This window comes from Homo sapiens, chromosome 11, assembly GCF_000001405.40.
Source record: "Homo sapiens chromosome 11, GRCh38.p14 Primary Assembly".
Lineage (NCBI taxonomy): Eukaryota > Metazoa > Chordata > Mammalia > Primates > Hominidae > Homo > Homo sapiens.
This window is the reverse complement of record NC_000011.10, coordinates 82,910,165-82,931,211: the sequence shown is the minus strand read 5'-3', so window position 1 is coordinate 82,931,211 and position 21,047 is coordinate 82,910,165. Positions and strand designations below refer to the sequence as shown.

The 21,047-nt window shown below is 37.9% G+C and overlaps 1 protein-coding gene across 5 annotated transcripts in view, besides 1 other annotated feature; it reads right to left on the bottom strand.

The window, feature by feature from the left end:
- Positions 1-21,047, bottom strand: part of DDIAS (DNA damage induced apoptosis suppressor) — a 32,924-nt gene that overhangs the window by 3,448 nt on the left and 8,429 nt on the right. Inside the window, exons 2-5 of one of the 5 annotated variants that reach the window (XM_024448400.2) lie at positions 17,826-17,929; positions 16,361-16,489; positions 2,274-2,435; positions 938-1,055 (exon numbers count right to left, since the gene is read on the bottom strand). In XM_024448400.2, the coding sequence (XP_024304168.1) occupies positions 938-1,055; positions 2,274-2,435; positions 16,361-16,473 (393 nt within the window). In that variant the 5' untranslated portion in view covers positions 16,474-16,489; positions 17,826-17,929. Of the gene's footprint in view, positions 1-937; positions 1,056-2,273; positions 2,436-8,529; positions 8,628-16,360; positions 16,490-17,041; positions 17,256-17,825; positions 17,930-21,047 lie in introns of those variants that run through there. The other 4 variants (NM_145018.4, XM_011544836.3, NM_001363481.2 and 1 more) reach the window with 4 other exon arrangements.
- Positions 6,185-6,234: a silencer, noted in NCBI's record as "silent region_3818". NCBI's record gives its function as "represses an Ori minimal core promoter by ATAC-STARR-seq in GM12878 lymphoblastoid cells {active_cell/tissue: GM12878}" and the evidence as "EXISTENCE:reporter gene assay evidence [ECO:0000049][PMID:35858748]".

Here is a 21,047-nt window from a genome sequence, read left to right as displayed (position 1 = left end):
AAGAAATCCTAGTTCCCGCATTTATTAATAGTGTTGAGACTTTGGACAATTTATTTAACCTGAGTCTTCTCCTTTATAAAATAAAAATAAAAATAAAAATGCAGGATTACTGTTTAGTAATAAAATGGAAAACTGCACAGTGCTTAGAAAATAGCAGTGGCTCAATAAATGGCAACTATCATAGTTCTCTTTAGCTAAGGAAAGAGAGGAGGGGAGGGGAGGGGAAAAAGGGGAGGAGGAAAAAGAAGAGAGGAGAGAAAAGGACTGTCTACGATTTTAACAAGTAAAGCTCTGTAGCCGTTGATTCTACCTTCCCTTTGGATTTTTCTCACTCTTCTGTTGTGGAGTCCTCTTTTAAAACCCTGATTCCAGTGTGGAAAAAAATGTCTCTTTGTTCCCTTTAGCATAGATGAGACAGAAAACTATTACTCCTTCAAAGTCAAAGGAGTAACTTCTTTTTTTTTTAACTTCTTCTACAGTCACTTTTATATTTAAGACCATCTTTCTTAATCTAGTTTTAGTATTCTTATCAATACTCAAGATACTTTGCCTTCAGTGTTCCATTATTCTCTTTTATAGAAGACAGAATTAAAAAGCTAGAGAATTGGTGGAAGTTTTACTATAGAATTTGAACAAAATCCGGAGGGCAAAATAAATACTAAATACCAAAAACAAATATCTAACATTTCTAAATATATAATAAATTTATATTTTTAAGCTCTGAAAGCATTTGAAGTAGGCTCCCCTGACTTTCGAAAGAGGAAGTTGTCACACATGGTGTTTTAACAGACCACCTATAGGCTATTTTTACATAGTTTAAAGTGTTTCTACAGGCCTTCACATGTACAGAACTCCTAACAACTATTTAGAAAATTCACATAATTCATTACAATGGAAATGTTAACAGATTATTAAAAAGAAAGCTAGTCTCAATTACCGTCACTCCAAAAATAAAGCTTTGTCCAACAAAGCAAGTTTCAACTGCTTTAGTTAATAGATTCTGAGTTGTATCATTGTCCAGTGTTTCTGGAATTTTATTAGGATCCTGAATGTACCTTGATTGGAAAAAAAGTAAAAAATGTGAAGCAATGAACTTTGAAATTTTACTTGCCATAAAGTCAGAGACACAATTAATTTGAAAATGCAGCATGAACCTTTTATAGAGGAAAAAAAGTGACTTTAAGAGCCAGGCAGTTTGTTCTCTCTAGTTTCTCATAGCACAGAAAAATCAACAAAACCAATTGATCAAGTGGGAGTAAAGTAGTTACCTGCCTAACCATCAGGCCCGGCAATGATTATAAGGAAAAATAAAAGTGGCAGTGGGAATAGTGGTGGCATCTCTAGCTCTTCACTTGAAAGCAGGAAAAAGTCATCCCTTTTCTCTGATAAGCCTGGTTGTGGTCCCTTTATTGTCTCAAGCACAAAAATGTGGACATAGATTTCTTGCATGTGATTAGGGGAGGAGGGCAGAAGACTGAGGGGGAAGAAAAGCTTTTTTTTTTTTTTTTGAGACAGAGTCTCGCTCTGTCTCCCAGGCTGGAGTGCAGTGGTGCAATCTTGGCTCACTACAAGCTCTGCCTCCTGGGTTCATGCCATTCTCCTGCCTCAGCCTCCCGGCGTAGCTGGGACTACAGGCGCCCACCACCATGCCCAGCTAATTTTTTGTATTTTTAGTAGAGATGGGGTTTCACCGTGTTAGCCAGGATGGTCTCCATCTCCTGACCTTGTGATCCGCCCGCCTCGGCCTCCCAAAGCGCTGGGATTACAGGCGTGAGCTACCGCGCCCGGCCAAGAAAAGCTTTAATTGCTTATTCTTATATTCTCAGGACAATGTCGTAAAAGGTCAAACTATGCAAATTAAATTGCAATACAGATAAAAAATAAAATTTCAATTTCTGAAATGCAAATATTCCCTCAAATAGATTCTTCTGCCTCAGGGGAACCTAACTGTTTCAATGCTAACCTCAATTTGGATAATTCTTCAATTTGAAATGATGTTACTTTCTTAGCCTCTATTTCTGTAACTTGGATTAGAGATTTATAACTTAATATTCTAATTACAGATTAATTACCCTAAATAAAAGGAGACTGTTTTAATATCATCATAATATGTATTCAGGAAATAAACATCTTTCTTACTTGCTTGTCTTTTAAAGGAATTGACAATCTGGGGTTGAATGATTATCTTTCTACAAAAATGCATATTGCCTTATAAACTTGTATCTTCAAATTCTAAGGGCAGTCAGGAAAAAGGATGTTTTAAGTATTCTTACCTGTGCAAACCAGTGGCAGTAAGACCAAAAAATGTATCTAAGCAACTTCCAAATACAGTAATAACAAACAATTTGTTTGATTCTGCAACTTTTAAGGAAAGTTTGTATCTGTAATTGGCATTTCCAGATTCACCAGTAGAGCCACATTTTGGACAATTAGACCTAGAAAAGTGGTGGAAAAAAGTGTGGAGATGTTCATTAAATGTTTTTCATATGATGAAAAATCCAGAACAGTAAAAATTTAAAATAACATTTTGTGTATAAATGCTCCTACACAACTCAAATTCTTCTTAAACTCTTTCAGATCAACTTATTTTAAATTTCTCTAGTCAGAATAGTTAGCGTTACTGATTTAAATTAAACAGCCCCAAGTTGATAGAAATACATACCAAATTGATGGAAAACTAAAGGAGAACTGTGCATGAAAGAGAGGACGAAAAGGCCGGGCGCGGTGGTTCACACCTGTAATCCCAGCACTTTGGGAGGCCGAGGCGGGTGGGTCACCAGGTCAGGAGATTGAGACCATCCTAGCTAACACGGTAAAACCCTGTCTCTACTAAAAATACATAAAAATTAGATGGGTGTGGTGATGGGCACCTGTAATCCCAGCTACTTGGGAGGCTGAGGCAGCAGAATGATGTGAACCCGGGAGGTGGATCTTGCAGTCAGCCAAGATCGCACCACTGCACTACAGCCTGGGGGGCAGAGTGACATTCCGTCTCAAAAAAAAAAAAAAAAAAAAAAAAAAAAAAAAAAAAAAAGAGGACAAAAAATAATCTCAAAATATTTAATACCTATTTATACACAAAGCACTTAATTGCATTTTTCTCACCATAATGAAAATTACTTTCTTTAATTCATTAGACTATGTTGATAACTTATCAGATTATAAAATTTGATATGAAAACCATGCAATTTAACTTGTTTTTTTAAGACAGTATGTAATGGTGGCTAAAGGCTTTCTAGTCAAAAAGTACACATCTACATGGCAGTGTAACTCTATTGCCATGTACTCATTGTCTGACAGTTACTAAATTCTTGAGTTCCTCATCTATGAAGTCCAGGGCTGAAGAAGGATTAAAATAGACAAATAAAGGGTCTAGTGCAAATACTGTGAAATTAGTGTTAGTCTGCTTCTCCCTCATAATTATATCAAGTATTGTGATAATTACTGTCACTTGTACTGTTAACTTCTCTTCTAGTTTGCAATGTATTATAACTCTGATTTCTATCTTTCAGGTTCTTAATGTCCACCCCTCAGTTAGGTTAACTTTATTTAACAGACAGAATAGTTTAAAAAATTTTTTTGAAATACAACAAGCACCTAAAAACATTTTATGGTAATGGCTAATACTAGAATTTTGTTTTTTCTTCAGATTGCTAAAGATCTTAAAAAAGAGTGGCAAAAGGCAAACAGAAAGCAAGGTGAAAGATGGTTGTATAAATTTGATTGTTGCCAGATGGCCACTAGGGGGAGTCTAAAATCTGTAGCTCTGAAAGTGACTCACCTTTATTAGATCTGTGCTGTTATTCTTCTGCCATACTGAGGATAGATCTATACCAACCCATTCATATAATCCTATACAAATCTGCTAGAGTTTGTGCTGTAGGTTAGCCATAGAATGAATTAAAGGTAATTGACTCACTAGGGGATAAAACTCCATTAGTACCAAACTCTAGGGAAATGAACTGTTTAAAATATATATTGGAATTTCTTTAAAGGCTATGCAATAATGCATACAGGTTTAATGTAAAATTCCTAGCAAAACTTAGACTAATATGCATTAGCATTCAGTTTACAAATGTTTTCAACATACATTATTTCATTTTTATAGGTAAAATTTACAAATGGGGAAATTAGTTTGAATTTTTATCTGAGATGACAAAGTTGGTAAATATATGACCCAAACCCAAGACTGTGAACTCGTATCATGAAGTTCTGATATTATGATATGATAACAGTGGGACCAAATGGTTAAAATAAAGAACTGCTTGCAATGACAGTATCAATAATAGCCTCAAAAAACTATGTCTATTAGTGTTCATGCATTTACATATTAAACTATATATATTTTTATAAAGTACATATGTATAATGAAGATATTTATTTATATAGTTTTCTTTAATCCTTTTAGGAACGATGCTGGATTAAAATAAATGTTAGTGTGGTGTAATACAGATTAGAGCTTCTCAAACATTAATATGTATACAAATCATCCAGAGATCTTGTTAAAATGAAGATTCTGATTCAGGAAGTCTGGGATGAGGCCCAAGATCCTGCATTTTTAATAAGCTCCCAGGTAATACTGATGCAGATGTACCTTAGGCCATACTTTGAGAAACAAGGATATAGACAACATATTCACATCACCGTCCCGATTTAACTTCTAGAGGCACCCATATTTCTAAAATGTCATTTGTTACAGAATAGCAGTTTTCAAACTTTTTGGTTTCACACTCCTTTAATACTCTTAAAAAATTATTGAGAATATCAAAGAGTTTTGTTTATGTGAATAGTATCTATTTTTTTTATTCAAAAATATTTACTTGGGCCAGGCGTGATGGCTCACACCTGTAATCCCAGCACTTTGGGAGGCTGTGGCGGGCAGACCACTCAAGCTCAGGAGTTCGAGTCCAGCCTGGGAAACATGGCAAAACTGTGTCTCTACAAAAAATACAAAAATTAACGAACGTGGTGGCATGCGCCTGTAGTCCCAGCTACTTAGGAAGCTGAGATGGGAGGATTGCTTGAGCTCAGGCGGCAGAGGTTGTGGTGAGCTGAGATTGTGCCATTGAACTCCAGTCTGGAGGTGACAGAGCCAGACCCTGTCTCAAAAAAAAAAAAAAAAATTACTTGCCAAAGATTGAATATATTCAAGGTATACAACATGGTGATTTGAAATACGTCTACACTGTATAATGATTACCATAGTCAAAATTTTTTTTTTTTTTTGAGACAGTGTCTCGCTATTGGCCAGGCTGGAGTGCAGTGGTGCAATCTTGGCTCACTGCAACCTCCACCTCTTGGGTTCAGGCGATTCTCCTGCCTCAGCCTCCCGATTAGCTGGGACTACAGGTGCCCGCCACCACACCCAGCTAATTTTTTGTATTTTTAGTAGAGGCAGGGTTTCACCGTGTTAGCCAGGATGGTCTCGATCTCCTGACCTCATGATCCGCCCACCTCGGCCTCCCAAAGTGCTGGGATTACAGGTGTGAGCCACCGCACCTGGCTACCATAGTCGAATTATTTAACACATCATCCATTACCACTCAAGCTGTACATTAGATCCATAGAACTTGTTTATCTTATATCTGTCTATATTTCTTTTTTGGTTTGTTTTCAGACAGGGTCTCATTCTGCTGCCCAGGCTGGAGGACAGTGGTGCTATCATAGCTTACTGTAACTTCAAACTCCTGGGCTCAAGAGATCCTCCTGCCTCAGCCTTCTGAGTAGCTGGGACCACAGGCACATGCCACCATATGTGGCTAATTTTAAATTTTTTTGTAGAGATGGGGGTCTCACTGTGTTGCCCTGACTAGGCTTGAACTCTTAGGCTTAAGTGATTCTCTTGTTTCGGCCTCCCAGAGTGTTGGGATTACAGGCGTGAGCCATCACACCTGGCTTCTATCTACATTTCTCATAAAACGAGAAATTAAATGAAAGTGAGAAATTAAAACTGAGAAATCAAAAAAATATTAATTCATTAAAAACAGACCCTTTACATGGTTAACACAAAAAACATACTTTTATGAAAAATAGTTATGTTTTTCAAATTTTAAAAATTAGTAAGAAGAGACCAGCATTGTTTTACATTTTGCAAATCTCTTTAATGTCTGGTTTCATAAAAAGACAGCTGGATTCTCATATCTGCTTCTCTGCTCAATCTGTTGTGATAGTACGTGTTATGTAGCCTCTGGGAAACTCCATTATGCACTCATGAGAGACTGAAAGTGAAAAGGCAAATAATGCCTTAGAATTATGAAAATAGATTTGAGTTCAAGGAGCCTCTGAAAGGATCTATCTGAAATAATAGCTGTAATTTGCTATCTTTTTTGTTTGATCCCAGTTAAAAAAATACCAAGTTTCATTTGTTTTTTTTTTATTTTTATTCATTTATTTTTTTGAGACAAGGTCTTGCTTTGTTGCCCAGGCTGGAGTGCAACGGTATGATCTTGGCTCACTGAAGCCTTGACCGCTCAGGCTCAAGCGATCCTCCCACCTCAGACTCCTGAGCAGCTGGGACTACAGGCACATGCCACGATGCCTGCCTAATTTTGTTTATTTTTGGTAGAGGATAGGTTTCACCATGTTGCCCAGGCTGGTCTCAAAATCCTGGACTCAAGCAATCCTCCCATCTTGGCCTCCCAAATGCTGGGATTGCAGGCATGAGCTACTATGCCCAGCCTCATTTGTTTATTTTTCTAGCGTACTTATATTTAGCCCAGATGTAGAAGAACTGGTGAGATAAGTAATCCTTAATGTTTTCTTAGTCTTGAAAACCTTAAAAAATCTGATGAAAGCAATGGACTCACTCTCTCCCCACAAAAAACAGATATGAACACGATATTCTACATATCTTAGGGACTGGAGGAGTCATACATACCTATAATGTATCCACAGATTCCAGCTTAAGAATATCCTGACTATATGATTATATAACATCCCTTTCCAAGTTTATAGACCCAGATTAAATACACACAAAGTAATGAGACATATTTTAAAAAACATATCTCTTAATGCTTCCACATATCACTTCCCCCACAAAGTAAGAAAACTATGATCTATATGTGTGAAATTAAATTTGACTTGCTTAAGTAAATGATATAAACTTTTTGGGTAGTTGGGAATGGGGGAGAGGATAGGTAGCCTCTGAGCGATGAGTCCTATTTTAAGATAGGAAAAGAAAGTTATTAGTGTTAGAAATGGATTTCTAGGCTAAAAGGAATTATGGGTCCCATTAGTCACCCAGAAGGGCAATTTCTATGTAGATAGCTTGTCTGGATAAATAAATCCCTTCTCCAGCTTATAATCTGGGGAGAGTACAGACATACACTATTGTGTGTGTATGTGTAGTTACTGCTTCATATGAAGGACCGAACTAACTTTGTACACATTTTTTTTTATAGATGTATGTCTATGTTTGTATATTTACATAATGAAACCCCCTTTCAAATGAAATTTAACTTGGAACACTAATATAAGGATGAGAATAGAGATCTTGTTGAAACTAACGTGGGGGCCCTAGAGTCTTACCTACTACTCAGCACTAGGTACTATTACTACTCTAATCCCATCTCCCTCCATAAGCACTTCCATGGAGCCCCAAGGCTCTGCAGAATACCTATAGATTGAAAACTACATTCAATCTACTGATCTGATCTTGGAGGTAAGAAAGTTAATTCCATAAAGCACAAAATACTTATTATGATTATAGTCACTAAAAATTTCAGGTTCAAAGAAAATATTTAGGGACGTCTCTCTGTTCTTCAGCATCTCTAAGATCTTCTGCAAAGGCAAGAGCATGGAACTCCTCTGTCATAAGCTTGCAGTGCTATAGCAATGGGGAAATGAACATGAGGAATTTCTGTTTCCTGTGTTGGCTTACAACTGATTCCAAGTAAGAAAAAGGGAAAGCAAAAACAACAGTAGAAAAGATAAGCACCAGGATTTAGATCATCATGGCGGATGGGAGGCAGGATTAGATTGCAGCTCCAACTCGGACAAAGCAGCATGTTGGGGCTCGCACTATGAATTTTAGCTCCAGAACAACTGCAAGAACAAACCAGGAATCCCAAGAGGACCCACAGACCCTCTGAAGGAAGTGGACTGCTCCTGCAGGACCTGGGAGACACCCCAAATACTGTGTGGTATTCAGGGCCGAGACACCCATAAACGATTCACATCACAGGACTCTGTGCAGACAAACCCTGAATACCACCCCGGAGCCAGACAGACTGGCTGGATGGCTAGACCCAGAAGAGAGATAACAATCACTGCAGCTCGGCTCATAGGAAGCTACATCCATAGGAAAAGGGGGGAGAGTATCACATCAAGGGAACATCCTGTGGGACAAAAGAATCTGAACAACAGCCTTCAGCCCTAGACCTTGCCTCTCTGACAGAGCCTACCCAAATAAGAAGGAACCAGAAAACCAACTCTGGTAATATGACAAAACAAGGCTCTTTAACACCTCCAAAAAAAATCACACTAGCTCACCAGCAATGGATTCAAACCAATAAGAAATCCCTGATTTACCTGAAAAAGAATTCAGCGAGGCACCAGAGAAAAGCGAAGCCTGACGCAAGGAAATCCAAAAAACAATACGAGAAGTGAAGGGAGAAACATTCAAGGAAATAGCATAAAGAAAAACAATCAAAACTTCAGGAAACACTGGACACACTTACAAAAATGCAAAATGCTCTGGAAAGTCCCAGCAATAGAAATGAACAAATAGAAGAAAGAAATTCACAGCTTGAAGACAAGGTCTTCAAATTAACCCAATCCAACAAACACAAAGAAAAAAGAATAAGAAATTATGAACCAAGCATCCAAAAAGTCTGGGATTATGTTAAACAGCCAAACCTAAGAATAATCGGTGTTCCTGAGGAATAAGAGAAATCTAAAAGTTTGGAAAACATATTTGGGTGAATAATTGAGGAAACCTTCCCCGGCCTTGCTAGAGACCTAGGCATCTAAATACAAGAAGCATAAAGAGCATCTGGGAAATTCATCACAAAAAGATCATCACCTAGGCACACTGTCATCAGGTTATCTAAAGTTAAGACAAAGGAAAGAATCTTAAGAGTTGTGAGACAGAAGCACCAGGTAATCTATAAAGGAAAACCTATCCGATTAACAGCAGATTTCTTTGCAGAAACCCTACAAGCTAGAAGGGATTAGGGCCCTATCTTAAGCCTCCTCATGCAAAGCAATTATCAGCCAAGAATTTTGTACCCAGTGAAACTAAACATCATATATGAAGGAAAGATACAGTCTTTCTCAGACAAACAAATGCTGAGAGAATCTGCTACTACCAAACCACCATTACAAGAACTGCTAGGCTGGGCGCAGTGGCTCATGCCTGTAATCCTAGCCCTTTGGGAGGCTGAGGCGGGTGGATCACCTGAGGTCAGGAGTTTGAGACTAGCCTGGCCAACATGGTGAAACCCTGTCTCTACTAAAAATACAAAAATTAGCTGGACGTGGTGGTGGGTGCCTGTAATCCCAGCTACTCGGGAGGCTGAGGCAGGAGAATTGCTTGAACCTGGGGGGGCGGAGGGTGCAGTGAGACGAGATTGCACCACTTCACTCCAGCCTGGGCGAAAAAGCGAAACTCCGTCTCAAAAAAAAAAAAAAAAAAAAAAAAGAAAGAAAGAAAAAAACTGTGAAAAGGAGCTCTAAATCTTGAAACAAATCCTGGAAACACATCAAAAACAGAATCTCTTAAAAGCATAAATCATGAAGGACCTATAAAACAAAAACAATTTAAAAAGCAAAAACAAAAAAAACAAGGTACACAGGCAACAAATACCACAATGAATGCAATGGTACCTCAAATCTCAATACTAACATCGAATGTAAATGGCATAAATGTTCCACTTAAAAGATACAGAATAGCAGAATGGATAAGAACTCACCAACCATCTGCTGCCTTCAGGAGACTCACCTAACACATAAGGACTCACATAAACATCAAGTAAAGGAGTGGAAAAAGGCAGTTTGTGCAAATGGACACCAAGCAGGGGTAGCTATTTTTATATTAGACAAAAACAAACTTTAAAGCAAAAGCAGTTAAAAGAGACAAAGGACATTATATAATGATAAAAGGCCTTGTCCAACGAGAAATATCACAATCCTAAACATTTATGCACCTAACACTGGAGCTCCCAAATTTATAAAACAATTACTAATAGACCTAAGAAATGAGATAGACAGCAACACAATAATAGTGGAGGACTTCAATACTACACTGACAGCACTAGACAGGTCATCAAGACAGAAAGTCAACAAAGAAAAAATGGATTTAAACTATGCCTTGGAACAAATGAACTTAACAGATAATATACAGAGCATTTCATCCAACAACCGCAGATTACACATTCTATTCAACAGCACATGGAACTTTCTCCAAGATAGACCATGTGATAAGCCAGAAAACAAGCCTTAATAAATTTAAGAAAATTGAAATCATATCAAGCACTCTCTCAGGCCATAGTGGAATAAACTGGAAATCAACTCCAAAAGGAACCTTCAAAACCATGCCAATACATGGAAATTAAATAAGCTGCTCCTGAATGATCCTTGGATCAAAAATGAAATCAAGATGGAAATTTAAAAATTCTTCAAACTGAATGGCAATAATGACACAACCTATCAAAACCTCTGGGCTGCAGCAAAGGCAGTGCTAAAAGGAAAGGTCATAGTCCTAAATGCCTACATCAAAAAGACTGAAAGAACACAAACTGACATTCTAAGGTCACACCTCAAGGAACTAGAGAAACAAGAACAAACCAAACCGAAACCCAGCAGAAGAAAGGAAATAACCAAGATCAAAGCAGAACTAAATGTAATTGAAACAAAAACAAATACAAAAGATACATGAAACCAAAAGCTGGCTCTTTGAAAAGATAAATAAAATTGATAGACCGTTAGCAAGATTAACCAAGAAGAGAGAAAATCCAAATAACCTCATTAAGAAACAAAACGGGACATATTACAACTGACACCACTGAGACACAAAAGATCATTCAAGACTACTACAAACACCTTTACACAAGCTAGAAAACCTAGAAGAGATGGATAAATTCCTGGAAAAATACAACCCTCCTAGCTTAAATCAGGAAGAATTAGATACCCTGAACAGACCAATAATAAGCAGCAAGATTGAAATGGGAATTAAAAAATTACCAACAAAAGGCCGGGCGTGGTGCCTCACGCCTGTAATCCCAGCGCTTTGGGAGGCTGAGGTGGGCGGATCATGAGGTTAGGAGATCGAGACCATCCTGGCTAACACCGTGAAACCCTGTCTACTAAAAATACAAAAGATTAGCTGGGCATGGTGGTGGGCACCAGTAGTCCCAGCTACTCAGGAGGCTGAGGCAGAATGGCGTGAAGAGAGGTAGAGCTTGCAGTGCGCTGAGATCACGCCACTGCACTCCAGCCTGGGCGACAGAGTGAGACTCCGTCTCAAAAAAAACCAACGAAAAAAAGTCTGGGACCAGATGGATTCACAGCAGAATTCTACCAGACATTCAAAGAAGAATTGGTACCAATCCTTCTGACGCTATTCTATGAGATAAAGAGGGAACCCTCCCTAATTCATTCTATGAAGGCGACATCACCCTAATACCCAAATCAGGAAAGGACATAAGCAAAAAAGAAAACTACTGCCCGATATCCTTGATGAACATAGATGCTAAAATCCTTAACAAAATACTAGCTAACTGAATCCAACAACATATCAAAAAGATAATCCACCATGATTAAGTGGGTTTCATACCAGGGATGTAGGGACAGTTTAACATACATAAGTCAATAAGTGTGATATACCACATAAACAGAATTTTAAAACCAAAAATCACATGATCATCTCAATGGATGCAGAAAAAACATTCAACAAAATCCAGCATCCATTTATGATTAAAACTCTCAGCGAAAGTGGCATACAAGGGACATACCTCAATGTAATAAAAGCCATCTATGACAAACCCACAGCCAACATAACAATGAATGGAGAAAAGTTGAAAGCATTCCCTCTGAGAATTGGAACAAGACAAGGATGCCCACTCTCACCATTCTTCTTCAACATACTACTGGAAGTCCTAGACAATGCAATCAGACAAGAGAAAGAAAGAAAGGGCATCTAAATCAGTAAAGAGGAAGTCAAACTGTCACTGTTTGCTGACAATATGATTGTTTACCTCGAAAACCCTAAAGACTCCTCCAGAAAGCTGCTAGAACTGATAAAAGAATTCAGCCAAGTTTCTGGATACAAGATTAATGTACACAAATCAGTAGCTCTTCTATACACTAACAGCAACCAAGTGGAGAGTCAAATCAAGAATTTAACTCCTTTTACAACAGCTACAAAAACACACACACAAAAAAAAACCACACAAAAAAAACAAATTTAGGAAGATACCTAACCAAGGAGGCAAAAGACCTCTACAAGAAAAACTACAAAACATTGCTGAAAGAAATCATAGACAACACAATGAATGGAAACACATCCCATGCTCGTGGATAGGTAGAATCAATATTGTGAAAATGACCATGCTGCCAAAAGCAATCTACAAATTCAGTGCAATCCCTACCACCATCATTCTTCACAGAATTAGAAAAAACAATTTTAAAATGCATATGGAACCAAAACATGGCCTGCACAGCCAAAGCAAGACTAAGCAAAAAGAACAAACCTGGAGGCATCGCATTACCTGATTTCAAACTGTACTATAAGGCCATCGTCACCAAAACACCATGGTACTGGTATAAAAATAGGCACATAGGCCAATGGAACAGAATAGAGAACCCAGAAATAAACTCAAATACTTACAGCCAACTGATCTTTGACAAAGTGAACAATAGTGGGGAAAGGACACCCTTTTCAACAAATGGTGCTGGGATCATTGGCTAGCCACATGTAGGAGAATGAATCTTATATAAAAGCAACTCAAGATGGATTAAGGACTTAAATCTAAGACCTGAAACTATAAAAATTCTAGAAGATAACATTGGAAAAACCCTTCTAGACATTGGCGTACCCAAAAGCAAATGCAATAAAAACAAATAGCTGGGACTTAATTAAACTAAAGAGCTTTTGCATGGCCAAAGAACAGTCAGCAGAGTGAACAGACAACCCACAGAGTGGAAGAAAATCTTCACAATCTATACATCTGACAAAGGACTAACATCCAGAATCTACAACGAACTCAAACAAATCAGTAAGAAAAAAACAAGCAATCCCATCAAACAGTAGGCTAAGGACATAAATAGACAATTCTCAAATGGCCAAGAAAACACATGAAAAAATGCTCAACATCACTAATGACCAGGGAAATACAAATCAAAATCACAATGCGATACTACCTTCTTCCTGCAAGAATGGCCATAATCAAAAAATCAAAAACCAGTAGATGTTGGTGTGGATGCAGCAATCAGAGAACACTTCTACATTGCTGGTAGAAATGTGAACTAGTACAGCCACTATGGAAAACAGTGTGGAGATTCCTTAAAGAACTAAAAGTAGAACTACTATTTGATCCAGCAATCCCACTGCTGGGTATCTACTCAGAGGAAAATAAGTCATTATATGCAAAAGATACTTGCACACTCATGTTTATAGCAGCCCAGTTCACAATTGCAAAATCGTGGAACCAACCCAAATGTCCATCAATCAATGAGTGGATAAAGAAACTGTGGTATATATACACGATGAACTACTACTCAGCCATAAAAAGGAATGAATTAATGGCATTGCAGTCTCCTGGATGAGACTGGAGACTGTTATTCTAAGTGAAGTAACTCAGGAATGGAAAATCAAACACCATATGTTCTCAGTGATATGTGGGAGCTAAGCTATGAGGATGCAAAAGCATAAGAATGATACAATGGACTTTGGGGACTTGGGGGGAAGGGTGGGAGGGGGTGAGAGATAAAAGACTACAAATAGGGTGCAGTGTATACTGCTCGGGTGATGGGTGCAGCAAAATCTCACAAAGCACCACTGAAGAACTTACTCATGTAGCCAAATACCACCTGTACCCCAATAACCTATGGGAAAAAAAGGTAAGCACCAGAAATTATGGAAATAGTTTTAAAAAATTTTTGTGTCAATGTAGTATATGCAGAAAACAGGTTATATTTCCATGGACTATGTTTCCATAGGCAAGGACTATGTGCCATGGGTTTTATATTCCAAAAGGGTCCAGTCACAAGTCCTTTCCGAGGTCACTTTAAGTTCTAAGAAAGAGAGGGGAAGATGTCATTCTGAATACAAACTTCGCTGCTAATTTGGAAGTAATATGGTGACTATGAAGGTAGACAGAATTCAGATTGTTTAGGCTTGAATATGTTTCTGCCCCTAACTAGCTGGCTGTGTGATGATTTGCGGTAAGTTACTTAACTTTCCCAAGCTTCAGTTGTCTCCTTTAAAGGTTGGCATTAACAATAGCATTCACTTCATAGGGCTATTGTATTAAAAGATATAATGCCCACAAAGTTCCTAGCACAGTGCCTACTGTACAGCAAACACTCACTAATGTTATCTACTGGTATTACCCGTCTAAATAAGTAACAATGGCATTATTGTTCAACCTAAATTTTTGTTGCAGATTATCTTTAAAATAAATGACTGGAAAGAAAGAGTTTTAAAAATATTTTATATCTATATATTACTGATAATGTATCAGACAATGTTCTAGGCATGTTATGTATATTAACCTATTTGATCCTTACAAGAACCTTATTAGGCAGATATTACTTTCCCCATTTTGAGGCTCAGATAATTAAAGTGACTTGCCCAAGGCCACACAGCTATAATGGCAGGGTTGCAATTTGAATCCAGGCAGTCAGCTCCAGAGAATTATGCTTTTAATCATGATAACATACTGCAATAAGGTAAAGTATACTTATAATAGATTATAATAATAATAGCTACCACTTTGGAAATCCTAATATATGTTATGTATTCTACTAGAACATTTCTGTGCATTATCTCTAACTTTACAATGATCCCATATTGTGGGTACCATGATCCCACCTTACAAATGAGTAATTAGACTCACAGAAGTTAACTATCTTGCCCTAGGTCACATAGTTAATGAGAGCCAGAGCCTACATGAAACTCTGTTGTGTTCTCTGAAGCTTGAAATTGTTCCATTACAGTAAGTCCTCATTTAATGTTAGTGATAGGTTCTTGGATACTGTGACTTTAAGCAAAACTACTTATAGCAGATTCTCAAACAACATCATTATAACGTTGATGAGAAAAAAATTTGTTTCATTATACATCATTTTGCGTAAAGTTGCGGTGTCTAAGAATCCAACAACATTAAGTAAGGACTGTATACCACACTGCTTCTAAGTACAGATTTTGATGAAAGGCAAATAGCCCATGGGTTTTAGTTGTTTCAGATGACAGGCAAGAACCTGAAAAGGGGTGAACCTAAGACAATCTAAACACTATCATGCTATCACTTATTCATTCATTTAACCAACATTTGTTGAACACTTTCTATGAACTAAGCCCTAGCCAAGGATTTAATGATGAATAACACAAACAGGGTCTTTCTCTTAGAGCTAACAAATGAGTGCTTGAGAGAGTGGCTTAATAAAGGAACAGTGTGATAACTACTTCAAGGATTACTTAGAGTCTAGATATGAGTTAGAACTGCCAATCCTTTTCTGCCTCCCCATTCAATGCTAACTAGACAAAAAGACTAGTTAAGAATATTGCTGGCACACTACTCTTTCTTACATAGTTCTAGTTACTTACTAGGTATTCTTGTCCTCTCTTCGATGCAGAGAGACAGTGTTCTGGAGAAACTTCAAACCTAACCTCTCGTTTCTACTCTATAAAGATCAGAGGAAGACCTTAGGCTCTCAGGTATAGTTGGCTTGCATCTGAGCACCATGATAAAGAATTATACGCCAAACACCTTTCTAGTTGCTAAAGGATAGAAATTACTATAACATAGTCCCTGGTCTCAAGGAATTTATTTATTTATATTAACAACTATTCTACTGATCATGCAAAAATAAACAAAGAATAAACACAAGTCTCCTATATTATTCCCAGGGATATCCCAGAAATGGGCTAAGTTTTGTACCCAGTATTGGAACTTACTCTCTGAGAAGTTATTTTTCTTCAATGAGGCAAGTATTTAGCAAAGGACTTGACAGTAACTTAAAACTTTTCTCTAGTAATAGAGGATTAGCAGTGAAATCTGTTCTGGGATTTACAGAAGAACCAACCCCTGAGAGAATCTAATGTCCTTGTTTGGTAAATCTGGTCCTTGCCCTTGAGCCATAGGAAATCTACAGTGTGCATTTGTATTTCCTCTCTCACACTTACAGACTTTACTTTTACCTTTTGGAGACCAGGATTATCCTAGAGAAGCACTTCTGACATGATGGATATATAAAACTTGAATTCTGGAGAGCAAGTACTGAGGCTAGAAGAAATTTTCGTCTTCTGTTCATGTGTTCACACCGTGGTCTGCAAAACAAAATAGCCATTGGGATGACTGGCAAATCTTTCATTGCAGTGCATATTCTTTTCTTAGGAAAACCACTTAACCTCTACTGCAAAGCTAATAGATGTCATTTGTTTCACTTTCAAAGTGAAGGTGGTATCAATGTATTGGAAAATTAATTCTTTTTCTCCTTAAAATATTAATAGGAAGAAAATCACATTTAAAACAGAGTAGTTTAAGAAAATTCTTGTATCCTGTTTCTTAATAAATGCTCTATCCCAGTAATTCAGGAAAGATGTCATTTAGCTTCTTCACACCTTTACAAGAAGATACACAACTTGTGTCTGCCATCAATACAAAGGAAACTACCGGTTGAGCATCTTGAATCTGAAAGTCCAAAACCCAAAATCTGAAATGTTTTGAGTGCCACCATGATGGCACAAATCAAAATTCCACACATAAGTACTTAACACAAACTTTGTTTCATGCACTAAATTATTAAAAGTATTGTGGCCGGGCGTGGTGGCTCATGCCTGTAATCCCAGCACTTTGGGAGGCCGAGGCAGGCGGATCACCTGAGGTAGGGAGTTTGAGACCAGCCTGGCCAACATGGTGAAACCCCATCTCCACTAAATACAAAAAGTAGCTGAGCATGGTGGGGGGTGCCTGTAATCCCAGCTACTCAGGAGGCTGCGGCAGGAGAATTGCTTGAACCTAGGATGCGGAGGTTGCAGTGAGCCGAGATTGCACCATGGCACTTCAGCCTGGGCAACAAGAGCAAAACTCCATCTAAAAAAGAAAAAAAAAAGTATTGTATAAAATTACCTTCAGACTATGTGTATAAGATGTATATAAAACATAAACAAATTTTATGTTTAGACTTGGGTCCCATTCCTGCATCTCATTAATTATGTGCAAATATTCAAAAATCCAAAATTCACAAGACTTCTGGACCCAAACATTTCAGATAAGGTATATTCAATGTGTACATGAACTTACATGAATCTTTTAAAGAACCTAAATTGGTGGAAATTGTTCTTTTTTAGCTGAAATATCACTTTATTAGATTTCAGTGTGCTCATTTGATACATCTTGAAGAGAAAAAAAAGACTTCAGATTTTGTAAACAGAAAAAGCAAAATGTTACATGTCAAATGATAGCTCAAAGTGTTTTAATATCCTTGTATAAAACACATCAGGAAGGCCAAGTGTGGTGGCTTATGTCTGTAATCTCAGCACTTTCAGAGACTGAGGTGGGGGGATTGCTTGAGCCCAGGAGTTCAAGACCAGCCTGGGAAACACAGGGAGACACTGTCTCTACAAAAATATAAGAGAATTAGCTGAGTGTGGTGGCACGTACCTGTAATACCAGCTGCTTGGGAGGCTAAGGCAGGAGGATCAAGGCCATAGTGAGCTATGATGATGCCATGGCACTCCAGCCTGGGTGACAGAGCAAGACCCTATCTCCAAATAAACAAAATCAGAGAAGTCAAATAATAAAATACAGACACACCTCATTTTATTATGCTTCACTTTATTATGCTTCACAGATATTACATTTTTTTTACAAATTGAAGGTTTATAGCAACCCTGTCTCAAGCAAGTCCACTTTTTCAGTGGCATGTGCTCACCTTCCATCTCACATTTTGGTAATTCTCACAATATTTCAAAAGTTTTCATTTTTATTATATCTGATGGTGACTTGTGATCAGTGATGTTTGATGTTACTATTGTAATTGTTTTGGGGTGCCACAAACTGTACCTATATAAGATGAATTTAATCTATAAATGTGTGTCTGACTGCCCCACCATCTCTCTCCCTCTTGTTGGGTCTCCCTATTCTGAGACACAACAATATTGAAATTAGGCCAGTTATTAACCCTACAATGACCTCTAGGTGTTCAGGTGAAAGGAAGAGTCACATATCTCTCACTTTAAAATAAAAGACAGAAACAAAAATTAAGGTTAGTGAGGAAAGCATGTTGATAGCCGAGACAGACCAAAAGTTAGGTTTCTTGTGCTAAATAGCCAAGTTGTGAATGTAAAGGAAATGTTATTGAAGGAAATTAAAAGTGCTACTCCAGTGAACACATAAGTAAGAATGTAAAACAGCCTTTTTGTTGATATGGAGAAAATTTTAGTGGTCTGGATAGAAGATCAAACGAGCCACAACATTCCCTTAAATCGAAGCCTAATCCAGAGTAATACCCTAATGCTCTTCAATTCTATGAAGGCTGAGAGAGTTGAGGAAGCTGCAGAAAAAAATGCTTGAAGCTAGCAGAGGCTGGTTCTTGAAGTTTAGGAAAAGAAGCCACCTCCAAAACATAAAACATAACTTGCTGCAAGGTAAAGCAGCAAGCGCTGATGTAGAAGCTGCAGAAAGTTATCCAAAAGATCTAGTTAAGATAAGTAGATCTTAACTAGTTGATGATGGTGGCTACACTAAACAACAGATTTTAAATGTAGACACAACAGACTTATATGGGAGGAAAATGACATCTAGGACTTTCATAGCTAGAGAAGTCAGTGCCTGGCTTCAAGGCTTCAAAGAACAGGCTAACTCTCTTGTTAGGGGTGAATGCAGCTGGTGTCTTGATACTGACACCAGTGCTCATTTGCCATTCCAAAAATCCTGTGGCCCTTAAGGATTATGCTGAATCTACTCTGCTTGTGCTCTAGAAATGGAAGAAGAAAGCCTGGATGACAGCACATCTGTTTATGGCATGATTTACTGAATATTTTAAGCCCACTGTTGAGACCTACTGCTCAGAAAAAAAGATTCCTTTCAACATATTAATGCTCATTGACAACGCACCTGGTCACCCAAGAGCTCTGATGAGATGCACAAGGAGATTGATATTGTTTTCATACCTGTTAACACATCCATTCTCTACTCATGGATCAATGAGTCACTTTGACTTTCAAGTCTTATTATTTCAGAAACACATTTCCTAAGGCCATAGCTGCCATAGATAATGCTTATTCTGATGGATCTGGGCAAAGTAAGTTGAAAATCTTCTGAAAAGGTTTCACCATGCTAGAAGCTAATAAGAACATTCATGATTTATGGGAGGAAGTCAAAATATCCACACTAATTGGAGTTTGGAAGAAGCTGATTCCAGTCCTCATGGATGACTTTGAGGGGTTCAAGCCTTCAGTGGAGGAAGTGACTGCAGATGTGGTGGAATAGCAAGAGATCTAGAATTAAAAAGTGGAGCCTGAAGATGTGACTCAATTGCTGCAATCTCATGATAAGGCATGAACTTATGACGAGTTGCTTTTTATGGATAAACAAAGAGAGTAGTTTCTTGATACGGAATCTACTCCTGGTGAGGATGCTGTGAACATTGTTGAAATTACAACAAAGAATTTAGAATATTCCATAAGCTTAGTTGATAAGCAGTGGCAGGGTTTGAGAAGATTGACTCCAATTCTGAAAGAAGTTCTACTGTGAGTAAAACGCTATCAAACAGCATTACATGGTACAGAAAAATCTTTTGTGAAAGGAATAATCAATGCAGCAAACTTCAATGTTGTCTTATTTTAAGAAATTGCCACTGCAACCCCAACCTTCAGCAACCACCACCCCAAGCAGTCAGCAACCATCAACACTGAGGCAAGACCCTCCACCACAAAAAATTATGACTCATTGAAGGCTCAGATGATCATTAACATTTTTTAATAATAAAGTGTTTTTTAATTAAGATGTATTTTTTAGACATAATGCTATTGCATACTTAGACTACAGTATAGTGTAAACATTTTATTAATATATGCACTGGGAAACCAAAAAATTTGTGTGACTTGCTTTACTGCAATATTTGCTTTATTGCAGTGGTCAGAAACACAACCCACAATATCTCCAAGGTATGCCTGTAGCAATGTTCTCCTCTTTATACTTTCTTTTTAAAAATTCAGCCTGGGCAACACGGTGAGACCTCATCTCTCCAAAAAACAAAAAAAATTAGTCAGGCGTGGTAGTATGAGCTTGTGGTCCCAGCTACTTGGGAGGCTGAGGTGGGAGGATCACCTGAGCCCAGGAGGTAAAGACTGAAGTGAGCTGTATTCATGGCACTGCACTCCAGCCTGGGTGAAAGAGTGAGACTTGTTCTCAAAAAAAAAAAAAAAAAAAAAAAAAAAGAGAGAGAGAGAGAAAAAATTAAAAGCTTGATCTGTGGCAGGGTGTGGTAGCTCACGCCTATAATCCCAGCACTTTGGGAGGCCGAGGTAGGCACATCATCTGAGGTCAAGAGTTTGAGATCAGTCTCACCAAAATGGTGAAACCCCATCTCTATCAAAAATATACAAAATTAGCCTGGTGTGCACCTGTAATCCCAGCTACTCAGGATACTGAGGCAGAATTGCTTGAACCTGGGAGGCGGAGGTTGCAGTGAGCCGAGATCATGCCACTGCACTCCAGCCTGGGCCACAGAGTGAAACTCTGTCTCAAAAAAAAAAAAAAAAAAAGGTTGGTTTGTTTACTAATTTTTTAAATGGATTAGCATAACATAAAACATATAACATAAAATACATGCCTTACAACAAAGGTCTTTGTAACTGTTTGAGATAAAGCTGTATTAAG